We start from the raw sequence: 25,691 nt of genomic DNA on the forward strand, positions 1-25,691 counted from the left end.
CTTATGTCAATTTTAAAGGCTGTACTTGAATCTCAGAAGAGTCAAATGCACTCTTGAGCATCCAGTCAGCCTCCCCTGATCACAGGAAGGATGTGATCTCTCATTCTGGACTCTGAGAAGAAACTTCCAAAGTGAAGTTTGCCTCATGTATGATCAGATTGGTGCAGTACAGTAAATATTACTAAGATTGTGTAGAGCTGCATGGTAGGAGAGCACATGGTTTTGCGTGAAGTTGTATTTTTTTCTTGTTTGAAAAATGAGAGGGTTTCTCTATCATTTCACAGCAAAGGAAACAGAGTAATAACATGTACAGCCTTTCACGATTTGTGTTTTAGTTTTCGCTTGCCTGGGATTTTTGTCACCTGCCAACCGAGGAGCGCTGATGACGTGTGCTGTGGTCCTGTGGGTGCTGCTGGGCACCCCTGCAGGCTATGTTGCTGCCAGATTCTATAAGTGTAAGTCAAAGCCACTGTGACTGGCGTCTGATCAGGAAGGGACTCTGCTGCGGCTGTGGATCTGACCTGGGTATCAGATGGTGATGCTTTGTAAATAGTGTGCCTCATAGGGGTCTGTTCTTAGTTAAAAGGAGCCTGCTTGGTGATTCCTTTTGTGTCATGAGTTACTATCCCAAAATTTATTTGTTCGAAAATGTTTAGTGAAACAAGCAAATTGTGCCACTTATCCACTATCCCCTCCCTCTTTTTTTCTTTAAGCTTTGGCTAACAGGTTGGGCTGAACAGCTTAGATTTGCTGTGTTCATAGAAGCACATATAGACTAATAAAGGAGAAAAGTATACAAATGAGTATCACTGATTTTTTTCACTAAAACAACTAGTACATCTAGGTGTACCTTTTCTTACATATGAGAAGTCATACTTACATTGTATCAATTTAATATTTATAAAAATACACTGTTTCAAGTAAACAAAGATCTCATTATTTTGGAGACCTGGAAAGTTACTTTTGTAATATCATTAGTCACAATCTCTTGTGTTCTTGCATTCTAGAAGTAAAATAAAGTTCAGTGAAACAAAAGGCTCACGGCCACAGAGTAAGGCTGAGATGGGACTGGATGGCTTAGAAAGCAGCTGGCAGGGTCAGCAGGGACCAGAGCTGGCCTCCTCGGGAATGCCACAGTCTCGTCTGGGATATACAGTGATTCCCCACGGTCTAGCAATGTGAAAAAGTTTTGAGGTGAAGCACAGTAGAGTTACGTGGACAACCTTAATGTGGGGTTGGGTAGTCTCAGCCCCCAGTAAAAGATTAACTTAGACCTTGTCAGACACAGTTCTCTCTTGAGTATGTGAAGCCCTGTATGTATGTGTGTTTTAAGTGTGTTTTAATTTCTGTGAATTTTGTCAAGTTCTTTCTTCCCCTTTACTAAAGGAGGTAGGATTAGGGCCATCATACGGATTTTAATGCATACAAAATACAGTCAGCCCTTTGCCTGCCACACCAGCCTTACTTCATGCCACACTCCCCCTTTCTCACCATTTCAGCCACACAGGCTTTCTGTCGGTTCCTCGGACAGGCTGCCTGCTTTCCCACACCCTGCTCCCATCTGCACTCCACTCACTAATGCCTCCCCATCCTTCAGGTCTCCCAGCTGCAGATCCTGTATTACTTGAATTTTGACTGAAATTATAGTAAACCCAGAATTAATCATTTCATAACAGTCTGTTTATCAGAAACATTGTGAGTTCAAATCATGATACATATATATGATCTTATGTGTATATGTAATTTTATTATTTTCTTTTAGGGCAAGTGGCACTTAAACTTGCCTATCAACTATGTTAAAACTTTTTTAAAAATCACAGCTGTTCTGAGATCTCAGCCAGTTTCATTTCTGACTTAAACTGGGAGCAGACGTGTACTTTCATTTTTCACTCTAGCTACTTCAGTATTTGAATTCTTTAAACTGGAAAAAAAAGCAAGTTGGAGAGGGGCAAAGGAGAGTAAAACATATATTAGCAAACATGGTCTGTCAAATGGTCATAACCCTTCTACTCTTCTTAGTTGCCTCATCTGACACACGCACCTCCTAGGAACCACAGTTCCTCCTAGAAACCACAGTGCTAGAGGAAGAGTTGGCCTACTGTGGAAGTGTAAATGTGTTGCACATCAGGCTTGACGGTTCCCAGTTTTATAACAAATTCTGAAACTGACTGCAAGATAAGTGAGAATCCCGTGTGCCCTTCCTGTGCCTAGGCCCATTGATTGATACTGGCTCAGGATTTAAGGATTCTTTTGGTTGTGAGGGGAAAAGAAGAACTGATCTTGATGACTTGCCTCTGATTCTCTAGAGCAGGACTTACCTAGGGAATCCCATCCTGTATGTCTCAGATTTGGATTATTTAATAAAGGAATATCATATTATATTTGCTAGTACCATTTTCTAGGAATGAGTACTCATTGCTGTCTGACAGTTTGGCAAATATCAGACTTGTAATATGGATATTTGGTTTGCTTTAAAGAAAATCTGTATTTATACAACTTTTGTTTTCTTCTATAGCCTTTGGAGGTGAGAAGTGGAAAACAAATGTTTTATTAACATCATTTCTTTGTCCTGGGTAAGTGAATTTTTCAAGAATTACTTTCTTAACATAGTTACATGTTAGTCCCCAAATTTTCAGTCGTTGAGTCTTTAATCCTCCGTGTCTCTAAATCATGTACCTAAGAAAGTAAATTTAATTTTTGAAAAGGGGTAAAATAAATATTTTATAAACGTTTGCCAAATGATTACCACATGTCTTATCTGGGGAAAGTACCTTTAGACATGAGAAATGTTTTAATTCCTTCTCTTCAAAGTCTTTCTGTTTCTTGGTTTTTAGTGGTCAGTCTGACATGTTGTTCTGTAGGCTGCATTTAAAGCTTTTGAGCCAGGCACAGGAAGGAATCCTGAAGATAGTTCAGGCAAGCATATGTTTTCCCATTTTTATCCAAAGCATTGCCATTTTTTAGAGTTTATTCCATTAAGTAAAGTAATATACACCAAAAATAAAAAATAAGCAGCCACCACAAATCCAAAACAAAACAAAAATCCTTCACTCTCTGGAACTGCTTCTCCTCTCGATTATCTGATGCGGTTCTGGTCCTAGAAGCAAAACCCACTTCCTCCCAAACCTGCACATTTCTGGTGGGCAAGAACTGACACGTGAACAGGCTACAGCAATAAAGAAAGCCAAGGATGATGAAGTCTAGAAACCAGAACTGTTCCATTTGCAGGCTAGAAATGCAAGCGTGATGGCAGCAGCATTTTAATACACATTTGGGATAAATATTCTCTCTATCACCTCCACCGAAGATTCACATTCTTCTCAGTTATCGGTTCTATTCAAATTTCTATGCTTTTCTCAAGCCATGTCCTTTGTTTTCTTTCCCTCTGTCAACTCACGAAGGTGTCCGTCCTTACCAAGACTGTGATTTCCTGCAGAATCTCCGAATCTTGCTTTTCAGGCACCTCTCCCTCTAGTCTCACACATCTTCCATTGCTCCCTTCTCACATGTTCTGCTTATGTGGTTCTTTTATTCCTCCAAATAGGCTCATGTCTCCCCTAAAAAGGGATCATAAACATCTTCCCTTCTTATTTCCATCTCATTTCTTTTCTATTCCCAACAAAATGCCTTGAAAAAAATAGTCTCTACTCCTTTCTTCTCATTTTCTCAGTAAACATTTGCAGTGTAAAGCCACGTCATTCGTATTTTTCTCCATCATTTTACTGAAACTTTTAAGTTTGCCAATAATGTTCCCATTTTCAAATCCAGAAACGATTTTCTCTGTATTGTCTAACATTGGAATACCTTCTTGAAACTCCTTCCTTTTTTGGCTTCATAAAAATTATCCTGTGCTGGTTCTTCTTTTATGTCTCTGATCAACCCTTCTCTGATTGATGTTCTTCATCCTACTCTTAACAGTGGGTGTTTACCAGCAGGTAAATAGAGCGTGCTAAGAACTCAAGTATTCAGGGGCAGGGGGACTTGGTGTTCACCTAGGAATAGAAGGATCATTTAATAACAGGAAATCTAGTCATACAATTCTACATAAATAAACACCTGCATATAATTACTGCAACAGATGCAGTAAAATGGCCTTTGATAATATTGAGCATTGTTTTCAGGTTTTAAAAAAAATTTATAGAGAAATATTTCCTTGTATTAAAAAGAATCTTATCTCTAATTCAGAACCAACATCACTGATAATAAAACACTAGGGACATTCTCAGTAAATCTCTTTCATGGCTTGTTGTTTAAGTTCTGTTCACAGTAAAGGAGGAAACAAAAAGGTGGATTTCATCTTATTATTTATAGATAACATTATTTGTATACAAAGAACACCAACACATTTTAACTGTAAAACTTGTAGAATTAATAAAAAGAGTTTGGCAAAATGGCTAGGTATCAACTAATATTCCAAGATCCTAAACAGCACCATTAACCAGTTAAATGTTTTAATGGTAGTGGTAGTTGTGCTGGAAGAGGGCTCTATTCACAGAAAACCCATACAGTGCCTGAAATAACCTCTCAAAGTATGCACAATCCATATGACAAGCCTACAAGATTATTAACTCGAAAGAGATGGAAATTTGCCATGTTTCTTAATGAAAAGATCAAGCATTGTGAAGGTGTTTGGAAAGTCCAGGGGCTGCTGGGATGGAGAATACAGAAGCAGGCCCTGTATCCATGGCAGCGTGCTAGATGTGGCACCATGAGCCAGAGGAACTGTTAGATAAGTGATGCTGGGACAGCTGATTCTCTTCATGAAGGGAGAAAGTTGTCAGTCCTAGGTGGAGTCAAACCTAAATGCACCAGGCGTAACTACTGTGTGAAAATATGGAAGAGCATCTTCATGGTCCCAGGTTAGGGAAGGCTTTCTTCTCTTAAGCAGAGTGCACAAAGGATAAAAGGGAAAGTGGTTGCGCTTAAAAACTGTGTGGGGGAAGTACAGTGATTATTGTATGATTACAACCATATTTTTAAAAATGTATTCAGAAGAAAGACTGAATGGAAATTAACTACACACATTTAGATGTTTGGGTTCAAAAAAAGCCACAGACTGTGACAAGATATTTAACAAGGAATTAGTAAGTAGAATATGTAAATAACTCACATACATGACTTGGCAAGACATGCAGGTCAAATGAAAACCAAGCAGTGGATGTCAGTAGCCCGTCACAGAAGGTAAAACCAAAAAAGCCAGCAAACACCAGACGCCTGCTGCAGTTTTCAATAGAAAATACAAATTAAAACAACAGAATTGACAATCCCAAGTGTAATGAAAACATGTAAGGAACTGACTTTCATAGGCTGCTGGGAGGAGTTTAACTCAGGCAAACCCAATCTGAAGAGCAATTGGGTAGTTTCTAGTCAAGTTTTACATTCAGACATCCTGTGATGCAGCAATTCCACTTTCTTTGTATATATATATTAGAAACATAGAAGTTGTCATATTAATTACATACTACTGTTGCATTTTGTTATCTCTGGTTTTACCCAAAAGCCTGTTGTGTCTTTCAGGATTGTATTTGCTGACTTCTTTATAATGAATCTGATCCTCTGGGGAGAAGGATCTTCAGCAGCTATTCCTTTTGGGACACTGGTTGCCATATTGGCCCTTTGGTTCTGCATATCTGTGCCTCTGACGTTTATTGGTGCATACTTTGGTTTTAAGAAGAATGTAAGTTTATAGGTGTTAACTTATTCAGGTGAATTTTAGCTGCAGAAATTAGCATATGCCATCTCAAAAGATACCATAAAAGTGTGTAAAGATGTAAACTTGTCCTTTAGGATCTGGATTTCATAGAATATTTTTAAAATAGTAGTATTATTTAGGAGCGTGGTAGAGAGGTTACAGATCTAAACTTAGGTTTCAAAGTTTTTTAAGTGAATAGAAGCTAATATAGATTAATTGGGAAAGAAATGCTGATATAAACTAATGAAAACATTCATTCATTCATTCATTCATTCATTTAGAGATGGAGTCTCATTCTGTCACCCAGGCTGGAGTGCAGTGGCGCCATCTCGGCTCACTGCAACCTCCACCTTCAGGGTTAAAGCGATTTTCCTGCCTCAGCCTCCCGAGTAGCTGGGATTACAGGCATGTGCCACCACACCCAGCTAATTTTTGTATTTTTAGTGGAGACAAGGTTTCATCACGTTGGTCAGGCTGGTCTTGAACTCCTGACCTCAGGTGATCCACCTGCCTGGGCCTCCCAAAGTGCACAAAGCTTAGCTAAGTAAGCAGAGAAGAAGTCACTGTAAGAAAAGTAGCTGCAGAGTAAGAGTAGCAAATGTTTGTGGTTGATATGTAGCTTTGAAATAAATTGTATCTGCTGGAAATAAATTGTATCTGCTTCCCTGCTAATATTGGATTTTAAGGAAGATTATAATCAGGTTTCAGTCCTTCCTCCAGTTTCCCTCTCACCCTCCAGTCGGCCTTCTCTCACTTTGCTGCCCACTCCTGCCCTCAGGCTAAAAGAAAAACAAAAACGAGATCTTATTCTTCTGTCTCATCAGTATCCTTCTCTAACCGCACTTCAGTATCCCTGTCCTCTGAAAATATCAAGTCCACAGGGTAAAAGAAAGACTGTGTGGTTAGTACACTTTGTGAGCAGGACCCGGAAGGCCCTGGCAGAAGCTGGCACTGTTCCACAGCCTCCACTGCACTTTCATGCCTGGCTGCTGAAGGATTTTTTTAAACTTCTTCGGCATTTTGTTTAATTTATGACTTTATACCTCAGAAGTAGTGAACTGACAGGGTTTGAATTTTTTAATTACATTGATTAAACAATTACTTGAAATTCCAAAACTTTGCTGGTTTGAAGTTTATAGTATTTCTATTTAATATCAGCCTTGGAAATAAATAAAAGTTGATATACATGATTCTCTGCCTGTATACTCATGCATCTACATGTAAAATAATAATCTAGTCTGTGGAAGTATGGTCTTAATGAAAATATCAAGTTTTAAATTTTGGTTTATCATCACAAAAACTATAGAAGGATATTTTTGAACTTTCTTACAAGGAAATGACTTTCTACATCTGTACTGTCTTCCCCCCTCATGTGGCTGCTTGTGTCCTTTAGGTTCCAGTGATTTTTATACCGCCATGTAGTGTGTCATGAAAGGGAGAATAGTCGAGAACATCACCAACTCCTTATGGTCGTAAAGCTTCATACAGCCATTCATTGTTGTTTTCATGTTCTTAAGTCTTAGTAAAATTGAGCAATTTTAGTAAAGATGACATTGCGCACCTCCAAATAAAAATACATGGACCAAAATTCCAGAACCAGCTGATTTCTTACAGTACATGTGTAATGAAAATGAAAAGCCTAACTCTACCTTTTTATTAACTATTATTTTCCAAGTATTCTCTTATCTCCTGTGTACTTTTTCCTGTGTCTAAAGCCATTAGTCAGTAGATCACTGCTGGAGACAGTATTAACTTGTTCCAGTAGACAGACTGAGTATTGTACCTGATGGTACCTGGATGATGGCTTCCAAAGACAAATTTCAGTTTGATGTCTTAAGTAGACTTTATTGCCATTAGTGACAACATAGAAGCTGAAAAAAAGCAGGCAAATAATCTCGTGTAGAGAAGAATATTTGAGACAGATACGTAATTATGAATTCTTCCTTCCTTTTTTTACTGAAGGCCATTGAACACCCAGTTCGAACCAATCAGATTCCACGTCAGATTCCTGAACAGTCGTTCTACACGAAGCCCTTGCCTGGTATTATCATGGGAGGGATTTTGCCCTTTGGCTGCATCTTTATACAACTTTTCTTCATTCTGAATAGTATTTGGTAAGCTAAGGATAAAGTCCTCTCATTCTCATTACCATTATATGTAATATTTCCTTTTTGTTTGTTTATATGGGTTACTATTTGTATCCTGTAAATGTAAGCAGTTCTTCAGTAACCAGAAATCTTAAAAGCCAAAAGCTTATTTTTATCTTTTCCATGTTGGAAGAAGAACAATAGTGATAACAGCTAGTATAATATGAATTCAAGGCTTGTTAATTCTTACTCTTCCTTAATTCTTACTACTTCATTCTCTGTGAGGTGAGTGTTATCCCCATTTTACAGAGCTGTAAATGAGGCTTTGTAAGTTGAGTAATTTGCTTGTGTTACACAGCAACCCTGTGACAGAAAATTCACCGAAGTTTCTCCAAACCTATGTTCCTAACTAATCTGCACTGTTCAGAGAAGATCCTCTGAGCACTTGTCGGAGGGGATTGGTGAAGGGATTGGTCTAGGTGACCTGCAGAGTCCTTTGCAATTCTCAGATGCCTTCATTCTCCGATTGCTTGTTCACATGTAAAAACTCATAATAGTCATTTTGAGCCATTCTGTGTGTGTGTATATCTATATATAGTGTTATATCATGATTGTTATTGGATCACATTGACGTATGTTACAGGAAGTACCAAGGTTGGAGGTTACAGAAAGTTAGAACTAAATTTGAGCTTTTTAATGATTAGAACATATCTTTGCTTCTTAATCGTTATACTAATTTTCCAAATTCAACTGGTTTTATTATATGTGATAAGAAACGGTTACCTATTCTTAGTTGGCTCTGCCTTTTCAGTCACTTTTTATCAAATATCTCTGGCTCACCAGGAGACGAGTAGTCTAGCCATATGTAAATAAGTAGAAGTTTCAGGCCTCCCTGAGCAGGAAGGTAAAGTCCAGTGATACTGACATATCCTTCCTACTCCTCCCCTTCCCCACCCCATCACCATCCCAACCTGTGATAATTCGTCTTGTTTGGTTAGTTGAGAGAAAAAGCAAACCTTTTCAGTTCAAGAAGAATGAAAAGATTGTGTTATGTATTGTGTCAAATTGAAAATATTTATAGTTCCTTCTTGACGTGTTTGATTATAGGTCACACCAGATGTATTACATGTTTGGCTTCCTATTTCTGGTGTTTATCATTTTGGTTATTACCTGTTCTGAAGCAACTATACTTCTTTGCTATTTCCACCTATGTGCAGAGGTATGTATTAGCAGTATTCACTTATGTTAATTTGTAGACAGTAACTTTGGCATATTGCAATTTGTATATTATTAATTAAAATAATTTCTGTAGATGTATGTTTATTATGATAGACATTGACCTGTATTCCTAAATCAAATGTAACCTTCTTTAGGATTAAGATATCCCAGTTCAGTATATTTAGTTGGAAATTACTATTAGAGACTTTAACTTGTTAATTTTCTGAGAATAGTATGTTGTGCTAACTTTTTACTGTTGTTTTTTAACTGACTTAAAAATTAATACTTTTGTGATACAAATATTTATATCATGCCTGAGATAAAAGAATATAAAATAATCTATTAAAAAATACAAAAAAAATTTTAGACTGAAAATTTAATAAAAGTAAACTAGTAAGAAAATTCATTAAAAAGTTTCTATAATCACATTGTAATGAGTTCTATTCATGGCAGCACCAAAATGATAGTATCCTTATGTAATAGGTAGAATTGAATTTTAAAGATTTAGGTTGTGTTAAATCTACTATTTAATATTGTCTATATTGGAGAAAAAGCTAACTTTATTAAACTTAGTGTGTTATTCAAAAAATGGAGGTTAAATTTACATAACAGAAAATGAACCATTTTGAAGTGGACAGTTTAATGGCACTTACTGCATTTACAGTGTTGCGCCACCACCACCTCTGTTTAGTTCCAAAATATTTTTATCACCCCTAATTAAAGCCCTATACTTGCTGAGCAGTTGCTCCTCATTCCTCACTTCCCCCAGGCCTTAGCAGCCAACGGTCTGCTTTCTGTCTGTTTCGCCTGTTCAGACATTTCTTACAAATTGAATCATATAATATGTGACCTTTTGTGTGTGGCTTCTTTGACTTAGCATGTTTTCAGGGTTCATCATATCATGGCATGTATAGTAGTACTTCATTCCTTTTTTTTTTTTTTTCCTTTTTTTCTTGAGACGGAGTCTCGCTCTGCTGCCCAGGCTGGAGTGCAGTGGTGCAATCTCAGCTCACTGCAAGCACCACCTCCCGGGTTCATGCCATTCTCCTGCCTCAGCCTCCTGAGTAGCTGGGACTACAGGCGCCTGCCACCATGCCTGGCTAATTGCTTCTTGTATTTTTGGTAGAGACGGGGTTTCACCATGTTAGCCAGGATGGTCTCGATCTCCTGACCTCGTGATCCGCCTGCCTCGGCCTCCCAACGTGCTGGGATTACAGACGTGAGCCACCGCGCCTGGCCACTTCATTCCTTTTTATGGCAGAATGATAAATTTGTTTATCCATTTATCCATTGGTGGGCATTTGTATTGTTTCTACTTTTTGGCTGTTGTGAATAGTGCTGCTGTGAACATTCATGTACAAGTGTTCGTTTGAATACCTGTTTTTGGTTTTGAGGTATATATCTAGGAGTGGAATCACTGGGTCATATGGTAGTTCTGTTCAATTTTTTGAGGAACTACCAAACTTTTCCACAGTGGTTGTGCCGTTTTACATTCCCACCAGCAGTGGTGTACAAAGGTTCCAATTCTCCGTATCTTTGCCAACACTTACCTTCCATTTTTGAAAAAATTGTAGCTGTCTTCGTGGGTGTGAAGCGGTGTCTCATTCTGGTTTTGATTTGCATTTCCACAGTGACTAATGATGAGCATTTGTACTTGTGTTTGTTAGCCATTTGTATATCTTCTTTGGAGAAATAGCTATTCAAGTCCTTTGCCTATTTTTAAATTTGTTTGTCTTTTTGTTGAGTTGTAAGAGTTTATTTATTTATTCTGAATAGTAGATCTTTATCAGATTGTTATTTGCAGTTCTGGTTCTATAGGTTATCCTTTTCACTTTCTTGATAATGTCCTTTGCACAAAAGTTTTAAATTTTGATGAGGTCAAATGTATCTGTTTTTTTTTCTTCCGTTGCTTATGCTTTTGGTGTCATATCTAAGAATTATTATCAAATTAGGGCTGAGTGTGGTGGTTCACGCCTATCTCTAATCCCAACACTTTGGAAGGCTGAGGCGGGAGGATCGCTTGAGCCCAGGATTTTGAGACCAGCCTGGGCAACATAGTGAGATCTTGTCTTTATAAAAAATAACAAAATTAGCTGGGTGTGATGGCTTACTTGGGAAGCTGAGGTGGAAGGATCACTTGAGCCCAGGAGGGCTTCAGTAAGCCATGATTACACCACTGCACTCCAGAACCTGGGCAACAGAGTGAGACCCTGTCTCCTACCCCACCCCCGACCAAAAAAAAGAATTATTGCCAAATTCAAGGTTATGAAGATTTACCCCCATGTTTTCTTCTAAGTGTTATAGCTTTACCTCATGTATTTAAGTCATTGATCTATTTTGAGTTAGCTTTTGTATTTTGTGTGATGTAGTGTCCAGCTACATTATTTGACGTGTGGATATCCAGTTATCCAGCACCATTTGTTGAAGAGGCTGTTCTTTCCTCATTTAATGGTCTTGGCAATCTTGTCAAAAATCAATTGACCATAGATGTATGGGTTTATTTCTGGACTCTCAATACTATTCCAGTGGTCTATATGCTGCCCTTAGGCCTGTACCACACTATTTTGATTACTGTGGCTTCGTAGTAAGTTTTGAAATCAAAAAGGCTGAGTCCTCCAGCTTTGCTCTTTTTTATGATTGTTTTGACTATTTGGAGCCCCTTGCAATTCCATTTGAATTTGAGGATTAACTTTTCCAATCTGCAAAAATTGAATCATTGGATTATTGGAATTATGATAGGGATTACATTAGATCTGTAGATCATTTTGAAGAGTATTGCTGTCTTAACAGTGTTAAGTCTAATAGTACGTAAACATGGGATGTCTTTCCATTTGCCTAGGTCTTCTGTCATTTCTTTCAGCAGAATTTTAGAGTTTTCATTGTGCAAGTCTTCCACTTCCTTGGTTGAATTTATTCCTAGGTATTTTATTCTTTTGGGTGCTATTTTAAATGGAATTGGGTTTTTAAATTTTCTTCTCAGATTGCTCATTGCTGGTGTGTAAAAACAAAACCGACTTTTGTATGTTGATCTTATACCCTGCAATTTTGCTGCATTTGTTGATTAGCTGTTGCATTTTGTGTGTGTGTGTGTGTGTATGTGTGTGTATTTAGGATTTTCTAGTCTCAGTTTGCTTTTCGAATATATTTGTTTTTCACATATTCCAAAGGGCAAGAGAGATAGTGAAGTGTTCTCTTTTAAAAGATCTTCTGTTAAGCTATAAGCCACTTAAAAGCAAGAAGAGCTATTTTAATCATCTGCCTTGTTTAAATTATGTTAGTAATAGCTGAAATTGGATTCCAACCAGGCCTTAGTAGAATAATCTTCTTCCTAATACAGAGTTGACCAGACTTTAATACAAGTAGTATTAATGTCGAGCCCTGTGAGTAAGTTGTAAGCTATTTGCACATCGCTTTTCTTTGGGAAGAATAAATTTTGAAATACAGCCTAATGTTTTATTATTCATAAACAGTTTAAGCTGCTTCCACACATTTTTAGCCAGTTTTTAAGCAGCCCCACCAAAGACAGTGGGTGCTTCTTAGCACCTTTAGTGAGGAGAGTGGAATGGGTGAAGTTCAATAGGAGAAAGAGCCTGGAACTGATAGCAGAAATTAGATTGGGGGCTGTCTCATTTATTATGCTTGCTTTGAACCTTAGTAAGCTACATCTTATCTATTAATTGGAATGTAATTCTTGTTCTTTTTTCTTTACTACCTAGGATTATCATTGGCAATGGCGTTCATTCCTTACGAGTGGCTTTACTGCAGTTTATTTCTTAATCTATGCAGTACACTACTTCTTTTCAAAACTGCAGATCACGGGAACAGCAAGCACAATTCTGTACTTTGGTTATACCATGATAATGGTTTTGATCTTCTTTCTTTTTACAGGTAAAATTATAATTTAAGTGATTATTTTTATTTTGTAAGTTTTTAGACAAATAACTTATAAATGTTTGTCTTTTTTAAAACCCATGAAGGCTTATTCTGTTAGTGCTCCCATATTTAGTCCTCAGCACAACTAGGCATAGTTGGGTCTGCCCACCTGTGAGTTGCATAAAGATGATGAAACAGAAGCTGGGGAAGAAGGCTAAACAGGGTCATAATTGTGGTAAAGGTTCAGGGACGCATGGGCCAGTACAGCTCATGGTTTTCGTCTGTTAACCTCTTAAAGGTACACACAGTCCTTTTTTTTTTTTTTGCCACTTCAGAAATAGGGTAGAAGCTATAGTGACTTAAGTTTAGGAGTAAGTAGAAATTGAGGAGGTGAAGTCAAGATGAGGCTGAGAGTAGGTAGGGGATATCAAGGAAAGATAATGGGACATTCCTTAATCTAGAAGCTTTTATCTCCACTTTAAAATTCAAGCATTGAACAGGATATAGTGTGTATTTTATTGGTATTTATTTTATATATGTATATATCTTCTCTATCCAACTAGATGAAAGTTTTCGGTATCTCACAGCCCCGGGTGCTTGGTAAACATTTGTCGCGTGAGTGACTGAACTTAGGAATTATAGCACCTTCCTTTGTCACAAGTAACGCTGCCCGAAGCGTGCATCTAAAATGTTAGCTCCTCACGCATGTCATGGAAGAAAATGCAGGAGCCAAAAAGAAAAAAGAACAAGTTTTTTTCCTCCAATTAAAACTGTTCTACTTTTCACTCATCTGTTAGCATTTCAGAGCCTGGAGTCGGGTTTTGAAGGGCCTCTGCTGCTGTCTCAGGCTTAAGGCACTTCCATCGATTCTGTATTCCAGGTCATTGATCAGACATGGTGGGGTGCGTGTCTTGGTGCTACGTGATAAATTTAGGTCCAGAGCTGTAAATTTTAATAAATCATCTATAAAACAGCAGTAGCCAGTGAAACAAGGAATGACTGTTTTTGTGCCCTGTGTGTCCATAAATGCATATACAGAATAATTTATTCCTAGCCTACACACAAAAAATAACGATCATTGTGAATATCTGTTGTTTTTCCAGACATATGATACAGAAAATGATAGCTTAACCATCACCTAAATTTTATTTATTTTTATTTATTTTATTTTTATTTTTTTGAGACGGAGTCTCACTCTTTTGCCCAGGCTGGAGTGCAGTGGCGCGATCTCAGCTCACTGCAAACTCTGCCTCCCAGGTTCACGCCATTCTCCTGCCTCAGCCTCCCGAGTAGCTGGGACTACAGGCGCCCGCCACTGCGCCCGGCTAATTTTTTTTATTTTTAGTAGAGATGGGGTTTCACCATGTTAGCCAGGATGGTCTCGAACCCCTGACCTCAGACGATCTGCCCGCCTTGGCCTCCCGAAGTGCTCGGATTGGGCGTGAGCCACTGCGCCCAGCTGATTTTGTTTTTTAAAGTGTTATATTTTCATTCATTCAGAGTTGAATTTTGTAATCTGAATTATGGAGTCATATCAAATGGAACCAACCAGTTAAACCAGTAACTTATAGTGTATTTCACTTTCTTCAATTGTATTTTTCCTTTAGTGAACAGGTGGAAGCATTCTGGATAAGGGAGTAGTGAGCCCTTTAAATGCCTTACCTTTCTCTAAAATAGGGTATGGTCTGTATTTGCTTCAGTACTCCAGAGCAATGCCATTTTATTGTATTTAAGTCAATCCATTTTACAAAACAGAAGTAATTATTCTGTCACAAAAGGAAAGACGCCACTTTTAGTACGTACATATATTCCATATTAAGAACAAAATTAAGTAACTAAACTTAAGTTTCTTAGAGTTGCCTGGATAGTGATTAAATGTTCTTCTCATCTTAAAATATTGTTTGTCATCTTGAAATTTATGCAAGTAAGTACAAAGTTATATAAATATACTGAGTTTTCATTATTGCTTTTCTGAAATTAACCCCAGCCCTAGCCTGAATAATTATCCTTTTGACTATGCAAAAGGTATATTTGTATGTCCTCCAAAACACACATTGTGCTTTGCATATAGTAGGGCCTCAATACATGTACAATGTAAGGATGGATATAATGATGTTTGTAATTTCCCACGGTAATGTCCCATGTATAGTCTCTTGATTTAGAAAATCTCCTTTAATATTTTCTCAGAGTACTGCATTTAAAACAATGGTGAAAACTATTGGGACTTTAAATGTAAAATTTATACAAGGATTATTTATAGTCCCTTATGTGTGCATGTGCAAGGAGTACTATGCTTGAAGTCAGAAAAAACGCATTTGATTTCTGGCCACAAGTACCATCCATGTGACCATGAGACAGTCACTTAACCCCTTTGAACCTCATTTTTGTCTCATTGAAAGAGTGTCCCCATCTAGCATTCAAATTCTTTGGAATCTAGACTGATACCTGAAAATCAAGCCATACATTGTTTTCATGAATTATCTCATTTACTCTACATAATAGTCTATGGAGGCAATGAGGACAGATAAATTTCTCCCTAGTTAATATGATAAATGGGCTTGGAGATGTCAGTGGACTTGCCCAAGGATGACACACACAGTTTGTGACAGAGCTGCTCTGTTCTCTGCTACCATGCTGTCCCTCATTTTCAGCTAGGATGCATTTTTGTTACTATCTAATCATGTCACTTTTAACATTTTGTAAAAACTTACTGAGTTATTTTATTATAATTCTTTGAAGACTGATAACTTCCAATAACTGTACTTAGAAAATATCCCCATTTAATCATTATTTGAACCTGTTTTAATGTATTCATCTCATACCTTAAAAAATTCTAGTAGCGTTTTCCATTTTGTTGTAAAATATTCTTAAATAGGAAAGGACAGTTGACATCCTTCAGTCTTTTCTATGTAGTAAGGAAAATAATGTGTATTGTAGAAAGCTTAGGTAATCTTATAGTAGAAAAAAGTTCTACCAATTTTTGTAAGAAACTTGATTTGAGGTGGTCGTATATTTTTCAGACGTGCTCATAGATCTGTAGTATATTCCCGGTGGGTAATAGTTTATAGTTTTGCGACTTTTTTAAGGAACCAGTCATTGTAAGTCTGTATTTTTGTGTAAAGTATGAAACTTCCTTTGAAAAGGGGTTTATTTTTATTTTTTCTCTTATAGGAACAATTGGCTTCTTTGCATGCTTTTGGTTTGTTACCAAAATATACAGTGTGGTGAAGGTTGACTGAAGAAGTCCAGTGTGTCCAGTTAAAACAGAAATAAATTAAACTCTTCATCAACAAAGACCTGTTTTTGTGACTGCCTTGAGTTTTATCAGAATTATTGGCCTAGTAATCCTTCAGAAACACCGTAATTCTAAATAAACCTCTTCCCATACACCTTTCCCCCATAAGATGTGTCTTCAACACTATAAAGCATTTGTATTGTGATTTGATTAAGTATATATTTGGTTGTTCTCAATGAAGAGCAAATTTAAATATTATGTGCATTTGTAAATACAGTAGCTATAAAATTTTCCATACTTCTAATGGCAGAATAGAGGAGGCCATATTAAATAATACTGATGAAAGGCAGGACACTGCATTGTAAATAGGATTTTCTAGGCTCGGTAGGCAGAAAGAATTATTTTTCTTTGAAGGAAATAACTTTTTATCATGGTAATTTTGAAGGATGATTCCTATGATGTGTTCACCAGGGGAATGTGGCTTTTAAAGAAAATCTTCTATTGGTTGTAACTGTTCATATCTTCTTACTTTTCTGTGTTGACTTCATTATTCCCATGGTATTGGCCTTTTAAACTATGTGCCTCTGAGTCTTTCAATTTATAAATTTGTTATCTTAATAAATATTATAAAAATGTCTTCATTGCATCATTACCTATTATATATTCAAGGAGGTTCTGTAAATACAGATCTATTTACCAAGGTGTTTTGAAATGATTTATACTATTTTATCAGATTTTACTGGATTTTGTTAATGTAACACTTTCTGAGTTTTGATCTGAATGGAATTTCACTGTGTAAGGCATTGTCTAAAATGTTCACTGTGAGGCAGTAGAGGAGGTTGAAGTCATGCATATCTAGACAGATGAATTATCTGCAAGTACTTAAGGTGGAGCCTTACTACATTGTCATTAAGGAGTTTCTATTTTTGACTTGTTTTTCAAAATACAGTGTTTTAAGTCAGGTTTTATTACCTGGACATTAGCAATCACTAGCAAGTCTTCATCTTTATGATTTCATTGTTTTAATTTAGATTTCACAAACAGTTTTACTTCTAAGAGTTAAGAAATGCACTGTCTTTCACATTCATCTGACTAATTGAAATCCATTTATGTAGAATATAGGAATGGGGGGTGATTCTGAAGTATCGGTCTGCTTGTATCTGTGAGCATATTCATTTGTATTTTAGGGTCTCTCTGCTTGCTGCTTAGGAGAGCAAATCAGATACTGTCATTAAACTTACAACTAAAATTACTAGCTGTCACTTATATGATATTGCTGGGTTCTTACTGAATAATTTTTTTTTTTTTTTGAGACAGAGTTTCCTTCTTGTTGCCCAGGCTGGAGTGCAATGGCGAGATCTCGGCTCACCACAACCTCCGCCTCCCAGGTTCAAGCAATTCTCCTGCCTCAGCCTCCTGAGTAGCTGGGATTACAGGCATGTGCCACCACGCCCGGCTAATTTTGTATTTTTAGTAGAGACGGCATTTCTCCATGTTGGTCACACTGGTTTCAAACTCCTGACCTCAGGTGATCTGCCCGCCTCGGCCTCCCAAAGTGCTGGGATTACAGGTGTGAGCCACTGCGCCCAGCCTTACTGAATAATTTTATGTCACTGTCCTTTTTTAAAAAAACGGACCTGTTGGTTTTGAAGAGTAAAGGAGGAGCTCTGTTCATTTTTAACATGGAATATTTAAGATAGAAGAGTTTCTTTCAGTTTTATGTATCTCTTGTATTTATTTTTTATGGGTAGAGTTGTCCCTTAGTATTTATGGGAGATTGGTTCCAGAACCCTTGTGGTTACCAAAAATCCATGGATGCTCAAGTCCTTGATATAAAAATGGCAAGTATTTGCAAATAATCTATGTACATCCTCCCATGTGCTTTAAATCATCTCTAGTTTACTCACAATACCTCATACAATGTAAGTGCTCTGTAAATACTTGTTATACTCTATTTTCCATTTGTATTTTTATTGTATTGGTTTTTTAAAATTTATTTTCGAGCATTTTTGATCTGTTGTTGCTTAAATCTGCATATGCAGAACCCCCAGATAAGGAAGGCCAACTGTAATTCTCTTAGGGAGCTGTTGAGATAGGCTGGTTGACTCAACAAAGAGAAGGTTTTAGTTTTTAAAAATCCTGATTGAGACACCAGATTAGTTTTTATTGGCCAAAGTTAAGTTTCTTCAATTTTATTTTTCCTTTAGTGAACAGTTAGCTTAGTGATTTAAAAGTCAGCTGATAGAGTTGGTGTAACTTTTTCTTCGTTTTGTTTTGTTTTGTTTGTGAGACAGAGTTTCACTCTTGTTGCCCAGGCTGGAGTGCAATGGCACTATCTCAGTTCACTGCAACCTCCGCCTCGTGGGTTCGAGCGATTCTCCGGCCTCAGCCTCTGGAGCAGCTGGGATTATAGACACCCGCCACTGCGCCCAGCTAATTTTTTGTATTTTTAGTAGATACGGGGTTTCACCATGTTGGCCAGGCTGGTCTCGAACTCCTGACCTCAAGTGATCCACCCCCCCACCCCGCCGCAACCTCGGCCTCCCAAAGTGCTGGGATTACAGGCGTGAGCCACCGCGTCCGGCCTTTTTCTTCATATATTTAAGTAACCGTATTTCACACGTAAACAGTGGAGAGGCAGTTGGGAAAATGAAATTGGAGTGATAAAGGAAAAGACTTAGGAGGGAGGGAGGGTGGAAAGCCGAGGAAGGAGACAGTGACAAGGAAGGCCTGCCAAGTGAGGAGGGCGGTGGAGAAAAGACCCCTCTCCAGGGCTTGGATCCCGCCGTCCTGAGGGGTGCGCTGCTGCGGCTTTCCCAGAAAGTTCTCCAGGAAAGCGTCCCTCAGCATGGCAGGCGGTTAGAAGCAGGGGTCCGTCTCCTTAGCTTGAGTGTGGCCCGGGACAGAAACAGTTGCGTTGCGCATGTTGTGAGACCCCAGTGACCAGGAACCCCGGGGAGAAGTCTCCTCCATGAGTCATGATAGCCGCAGGCAGCTGCGAAGGAGGGGGACGTGTAGCCAAGACCGGGAAGCTAGGTAACTGCAGTGTTTTCCTGCTGGAGAAATGGCCTTTTGCCATTCCCATGCCTTCTATCTGCCCAGGTCATTTCTAGAGACCCAGCCGTGCCGCAGGGTCGTCCTGCTCGCCGGCTAAGGGCGGCATTCTGTCTGCATTTGCCTCCTTGCCCCGCACATCAAGAAGGCCGCCCAAGCTTTCGGGCAGCGCCGTAGCCCCTTGGTGTCTCCCACAGTTTCTCCAACTGTACCTTCACCTCGAACCTAGTTACAGCCTCACCCCGCCTTCTTCCTGTCTGTTCGAGAGTCTTTCCTCTTTATTTTCCCTTCTGTGTTTAAACCCTCCCTCTCCATGCTTTCCATTTTAAAACACGTCCAACTTTCTGCTAGTTGTTGTTTTTTTTTTTTTTTTTCATTTTTAGTGAAAACAACCCGTCTGACCGATTTCTCCCTCTTCTCCTTGCCTCTCCCACCTGGCTTTGCCATCGGCTTCTTGTTTTCCGAGGATTCTGCTGGTAACCTTGTTGCCGAGCTCCTCAGCGCCCCCACCACCTGGTCCAGCCCTAATTTTACCAGCTCTTTACTGACACGACACTCAGTCTCTCTTGGAAACCTTGTCCTGAAAGCCGTGTTCCTCATAGTCTGGGTCTGAACCTTCCTCATAGAATCGCAAGAAGATTGTCACAAACATGTGCTTGCCCTGCACGTGTTCTGGAGAAGTGCGTTAAAACAGGAGACGCTGCTTACCCACTTCTCTTCCCCTCAATTCCGCCTCTGTCAGTCTCCTCTGGGGGCTCCACTTCTGCCCCCAGCGGGAGTTGCTGCCCTATTCCATCTTTCCCTCTTTGACCTACTTCTCACTTGGTGTTCTCTGTCCAGTTTCACTCTCGTGTTTAGAGTCAGCGCCTCCATCTCCACTCACAGCACCTGCTTGCTGCACAGCCTGCGTGGTCCTCGGGAACACTAAGCTCATGGTGTACAAAAGTGAGCGCACCTGCCCTCCGTCCCCAGCTGCCGCTCCCCCAGAGGCCCCGTCTCCGGTGGGGCCGTCAGCTGCTTCATCCCCTGAGCGGAGCTTCACAGGTCCCCTGGGTGCCCCTTTCAGTCGGTCACCGAGTATCCTCCAAGTCTTCAGATCCATGGCTTCCTGCCCACCCCCTCCACCCATGGCGCCTGCGGTGACGTCCTCCTGCACCGCTGCAGCGACGCTGGCTGGTTCCCTGCTCCAGGCATGTTCCTCCGCAGGGGAACCTGCTAGAGCTGCCACAAACCACACCCCTGCGCTGTCCATCTCCCTCCGTGACCCAAGCCATCCATGCCAAACCACCTGCTCATATGATCTATCCAGGAAATTAGAAAAAGCCCTCTTGGCCGGGCACGGTGGCTCACGCCTGTAGTCCCACCACTTTGGGAGGCCGAAGCGGGTGGATCACCTGAGGTCGAGAGTTCGAGACCAGCCTGGCCAACATGGTGAAACCCTGTCTCTACTAAAAATACGAAAACTAGTTGGCCTTGGTGGCAGGTGCCTGTAATCCCGGCTACTCGGGAGGCTGAGGCAGGAGAATCACTTGAACCCAGAAAGCAGAGGTTGCAGTGAGCCAAGATCAGACCATTGCACTCCAGCCTGGGTGACAAGAGCAAAACTCCATCTCAAAAAAACAAAAAGAAAAAGCCCTCCTATAGGTGTGACGAAAGCATAAAAATCGTAACCTTAAAACTTCTTAAGACACATAGAAGTGATTAAGGGCTTCCTTAAGCAAACTATTTCAGACATTGGTCATATAAATTTGTTTTAATACACAAATTCTATTGCACATTGGAATTTGTAACAGATTTTGGTGACAAGCGAAGAAAACCTAAAAGTCTTTCAAATGCAGCTGCTTCAAAGTTCTGGACCAAGTATGAGTCTCATGTTGCCAAAAGCCTTGTTTTAGACCTGATAAAAACATCAAGACAAAGCATTTTAATATAGATCTGTTTTAGGGGTGTGTGTGTCTGTGTTTAGAAACAGGGTCTCACTCTTGCCCAGGCTGGAGTGCAGTGGTGCAATCACAGCTCACTGTAACCTCGACCTCCTGGGCTCAAAGCAGTCCTCCTGCCTCAGCCTTTCAAGTAGATGGGACTGCAGGTGCAGGCCACCACTTCTGGCTCGTTTTATTTTAATATATGTATTAGTTTGCAAGGGCTGCCATAATAAAGCACCACAGAATGGGTGCCTTAGACAACAGAAATGTATTTTCTTATGTTCTGGATGCTAGAAGTCCAAGCACAAGGTGTCCACATGTCTGGTTTTTCCTGAGGCCTCGCTCCTGGGCTTGCAGACAGCCACCTTCTCCCTGTCCTTGTGTCTTCAAATGGTCTTTTCTCCATGCATGCACATCCCTGGTGTCTCTTTGTGTGTCCAAATTTCCTCCTATGAGGACACCAGTCAGACTGATAGAGCCCACCTGTAATACATATAACCTCATTTAATCTGAGTGACCTCTTTAAAGGCCCTATCTTCAAACACAGTCACCTTCAGAAGTACTGGGAGTTAGGGCTTCAAATATGAATTTTAGGAGGAAACAATTTGGCCCATAATAATGCACTTCCTCTAAAGATGCTGTATCAAGTGAGAACAACAGGATTCTTTTTTTTACTAGAATCCTTTCGGCAGTAAAGTCAAAACCATCCACTGAACCAAGCACCACAGGGAATTCACTCTTGGATCACTGTTATGTCAGTGACCCCCGCCAGAAGGAACTCTATTGCGGGATCTGGCCAGCATCCTGCAATGCAACGGGGCTCTTTCCTTGTTCCTAGGCGGATCGGCAAGTCGAGAAATAATAGACACACACACAAGATAGTGAAAGCTGGGTCCTGGGGGGTCACTGCCTTCTGGTCCTGCGATGCCGCCAATGCACTGGATTTACCAGCATTTATTGTTAAGTTTAGTGAGGGTGGGAGTAGGTTAGTGAGGGATTTAGAGTCATTTGATTATGAAGTGAGATGGTCACATGGGGATGAAGTAATTCTTTAACATAACATCTGTATGCAGAAGTACAGTATACAGAGATAAGAATTTACAATATAGTGTGTGTGTCAGTAATTTTTAACAGAGCCTTAAAACAGAAAACACAGTCTTTCCATAACCTATGATTAGCAAGATATTAATCAGCAGTAACAGTTGCAGCAAAAGCTGGTTACAAACAATCCATAGAAACAGGCCATGAAGCTAGACAGCCAGTTAGACCAGAAATTCTCAGAAGGGAGTATGCCTTAACCCTAAAGAGGCCTAGAAGGCAAGATGAGGGCGTTTATAGCCCTGTCTTATCCATATGAACAGGCACCCCCCATGCGTCCGTTTATAGGCTCTCCACAAGGGTCACGTTCCATTCCCAGAGCTATGAACATCTGCTTTTCTGGGATAGGAATCTTGGTGATGTGAAACCTCCCTGACTGCACGTCCGTTCATAGGCTCTCTGCAGGGGGAAGCACATCACATGCTGTTGGCTCATTCTGGCAGTCCAACCTGGCATTGTCTTTACACAATCCTGCGTGCAACTTTGTATTTACAATAATCAGGAGCATTTCATCTTTTATTCCATAGCAATAGTTTCAGGGGGTCTTCCTACAGAACTCAGTGTCTAGGGTCTGGGGTGGCACTCCTCTGGCCAGGGCTCCCACACCTGACAGACAAAGCCTGGAGATTAACAAGGCTACAAGGGTATTGGCGCCATGACAAGGCCTCTGCAAGCAAATGGAGAATTATACCCCATAGAGGATAAAGGGTTTTTTCCTGGGCTTGGTTTGTGTTCTGTAATCAGATCATTGTTTTATTTGAGAAGTCTTGCTTTTGATATAACCAAAACTGCTCAGGAAAAAAAAAAAAAAAAAAAGCAGGGTTGGTGGGGTGGATGCAATGGCTCATGCCTGTAATCCTAGCACTTTGGGAGGCTGAGGTAGGAGGATTGATTGCTTGAGTCCAAGAGTTCGAGACCATCCTGGGCAACAAAATGAGACCCCCATCTCTACAAAAAAAAAAAAAAAAAATTGGCATGGTTGCACGTGCCTGTGGTCCCAGCTACACAGGAGTCTGAGACAGGAGGATCACTTGAACCCAGGAAGTTAAGGCTGCAGTGAGCCATGATTGTACCACTGTACTCCAACCTGGGCAACAGAGTGAGACCCTGCCTCCAAAAAAAAAAAAAAAAAAGCTCAGCTGTTGGGAAAGGTTTTTTAAACCTTTTAAAACCCTCAGAAAGAAAGGTCTCTCCCTATGAATAGCAGGACATTCTGGGGCTTCATTAATATGTAAATATATGTCATTAAGAAAATGTTTTTTCTGGCTGGGCACAGTGGCTCATGCCTGTAATCCTAGCACTTTGGGAGGCTGAGCTGGGTGGATCACGAGGTCAGGAGTTCAAGACCAGCCTGGCCAGTACGGTGAAACCCCATCTCTATTAAAAAGTACAAAAATTAGCTGGGTATGGTGGTGCATGCCTGTAGTCCCAGCTACTCAGGAGGCTGAGACAGGAGAATCGCTTGAACCCAGGAGGCAGAGGTTGCAGTGAGCTGAGATCGCGCCACTGCACTCCAGCCTGAGTAACGATACGAGACTCCAAGACTCCGTCTCAAAAAAAAAAAAGTTTTTTCATATTTGTATTTTGTGTTCTATAGCCCAAGTAGATGGTGACCATAATTTCTCTGCCTACAAGGTTCTATATGTAGAAAATCATGCTTTTCTTTCTCAGATATTTTGATGGAACCAAACCTGTTTCCTATGACTGATTTGTTCTCTCCTTTACTATGTAATTTGAAGTCTAAACACTAAAAATCACTGTTTCTTCACATTCTCTTGCTTTTGGAATTCCACTGGAATTTTTTTTTTTTTTTTTTTGAGATGGAGTCTCGATCTGTCGCCTGGGCTGGAGTGCAGTGGTGCGATCTCGGCTCACTGCGAGCTCCGCCTCCTGGGTTCACGCCATTCTCCTGCCTCAGCCTCCCAAGTAGCTGGGACTACAGGCGAGCGCCACCATGCCTAAATAATTTTTGTATTTTTAGTAGAGATGAGGTTTCACCATGTTAGCCAGGATGGTCCTGATCTCCTGACCTCGTGATCCACCCACCTCAGCCTCCCAAAGTGCTGGGATTACAGGCGTGAGCCACCGCACCCGGCCTCCACTGGATTTCTTCACCTCACTCTCTTGAACTTCATATACACATGCTCAAATTTGATTCTTTTTTCCCTTTTATTTTTTGACCTAATGATTATTTGACATTCTCATTAATAATGAATTCTTTGGCTGGGCACGGTGGCTTACACCCGTAATTCCAGCACTTTGGGAGGTTGAGGCGAGTGGATCACCTGAGGTCAGGAATTTGAGACCAGCCTGGCCCACATGGTGAAACCCTGTCTCTATTAAAAATACAAAAACTAGCCGGGCATGTTGGTGGGTTCCTGTAATCCCGGCTACTTGGAAGGCTGAGGAAAGAGAATCTCTTGAACCCAGGAGGCAGAGGTTGCAATGAGCCAGGATCGCGCCACTGCACTCCAGCCTGGATGACAGAGCGAAACTCCATCTCAAAAAATAAATAAATAAATAATATAATTAATTCCTTTATTTAGTGAAGAAGAAAGCATGGCTCTAAAAAGTCCTGTTAATTCCTTCGGATATTTTTAGCCAAAAGTGGTCTAGGCCACGTGAGTGGTGTTGACCATGATAAATAAATAGCACTATAATAGGTCACAGGTCATTAATTTCTCTGAAAAGAGTTAAATATGAGATATAAGTTGGAAATGATATATTTAAGGATTAGAGTCCACTTTTTAAAAGGTTTTTACTGATAGCTTACAATTAATGACATTGTATACATTCAAATTTAAATCAGGTTTTAAAAATACGCTAAATGTTTTAGGGTTAGCATTATTATCAAAGAAAATCATAGGCTGTCCAGGTCAGAGAGAACAAGGCTCCTCTGGCTCATGCTAAAGCCAGACAAATTGTGCCACAGTTGACTAGGACCATTTCATAGACAGTGGTGAACCGAGGCAGTGACTCTGTTGACTGGGAACGGCTCATAGCCCGCTCTAAGCTGATACGAGCCACACTGGCATGAGCCACACTGCAGGGCACTCCTGCTGGCTTCCTGCTTCAGCAGTGCCAAGGGAAAGGAGCTGGGGACTTAGAACTCATCCCAAGACACAGCCACGGGGCCACAGCCACACTACAGGTCCCCTCGCAGGTGGCCACCACCGCCAGGACCCAGAGCCACCTTCCAGACTTGCCACTACTCTGCCCTGGATGATGTGACTTGGAAGAACTTTGCCAGCCCCTTGAGGAGAGGAGACATGCTGACACACTGATGATGCCACAGAATTGAAGTGGCAGAATCTTCTTCTGGACATCAGTAACCCAGATGGGAAGGACTGGGAACACCTGGGTGTAATGGATTCACTTCATGCTGGAGAAATGTGAGTTGGTTGTTGCTGGAATTGCACAAAGTATCCCCAGCAAAAATCCCTTCCTACTCTGGCAAACGTGCTGGCAGACAGTGACGACTTGATGCAGCAATGCGTGTCTGGGTTAGC

The 25,691-nt window shown here is 40.2% G+C and overlaps 1 protein-coding gene across 1 annotated transcript in view, besides 2 other annotated features; it reads left to right on the forward strand.

Moving 5' to 3' along the window:
• TM9SF2 (transmembrane 9 superfamily member 2) overlaps positions 1-17,399 on the forward strand; it is a 62,577-nt gene extending 45,178 nt beyond the window's left edge. Inside the window, exons 11-17 of the mRNA NM_004800.3 lie at positions 336-455; positions 2,516-2,573; positions 5,518-5,677; positions 7,655-7,806; positions 8,887-8,998; positions 12,714-12,885; positions 16,042-17,399. Of these exons, the coding sequence (NP_004791.1) occupies positions 336-455; positions 2,516-2,573; positions 5,518-5,677; positions 7,655-7,806; positions 8,887-8,998; positions 12,714-12,885; positions 16,042-16,109 (842 nt within the window). The 3' untranslated portion in view covers positions 16,110-17,399. The remainder of the gene's footprint in view (positions 1-335; positions 456-2,515; positions 2,574-5,517; positions 5,678-7,654; positions 7,807-8,886; positions 8,999-12,713; positions 12,886-16,041) is intronic.
• Positions 1,726-1,775: an enhancer, noted in NCBI's record as "active region_7954". NCBI's record gives its function as "activates an Ori minimal core promoter by ATAC-STARR-seq in GM12878 lymphoblastoid cells {active_cell/tissue: GM12878}" and the evidence as "EXISTENCE:reporter gene assay evidence [ECO:0000049][PMID:35858748]".
• Positions 20,194-20,693: an enhancer, noted in NCBI's record as "H3K4me1 hESC enhancer chr13:100219097-100219596 (GRCh37/hg19 assembly coordinates)". NCBI's record gives its function as "activates a minimal SCP1, AML or CMV promoter by ChIP-STARR-seq in naive H9 embryonic stem cells {active_cell/tissue: H9 hESC(naive)}" and the evidence as "EXISTENCE:reporter gene assay evidence [ECO:0000049][PMID:30033119]".

Source organism: Homo sapiens, chromosome 13, assembly GCF_000001405.40.
Source record: "Homo sapiens chromosome 13, GRCh38.p14 Primary Assembly".
Taxonomy (NCBI): Eukaryota; Metazoa; Chordata; class Mammalia; order Primates; family Hominidae; genus Homo; species Homo sapiens.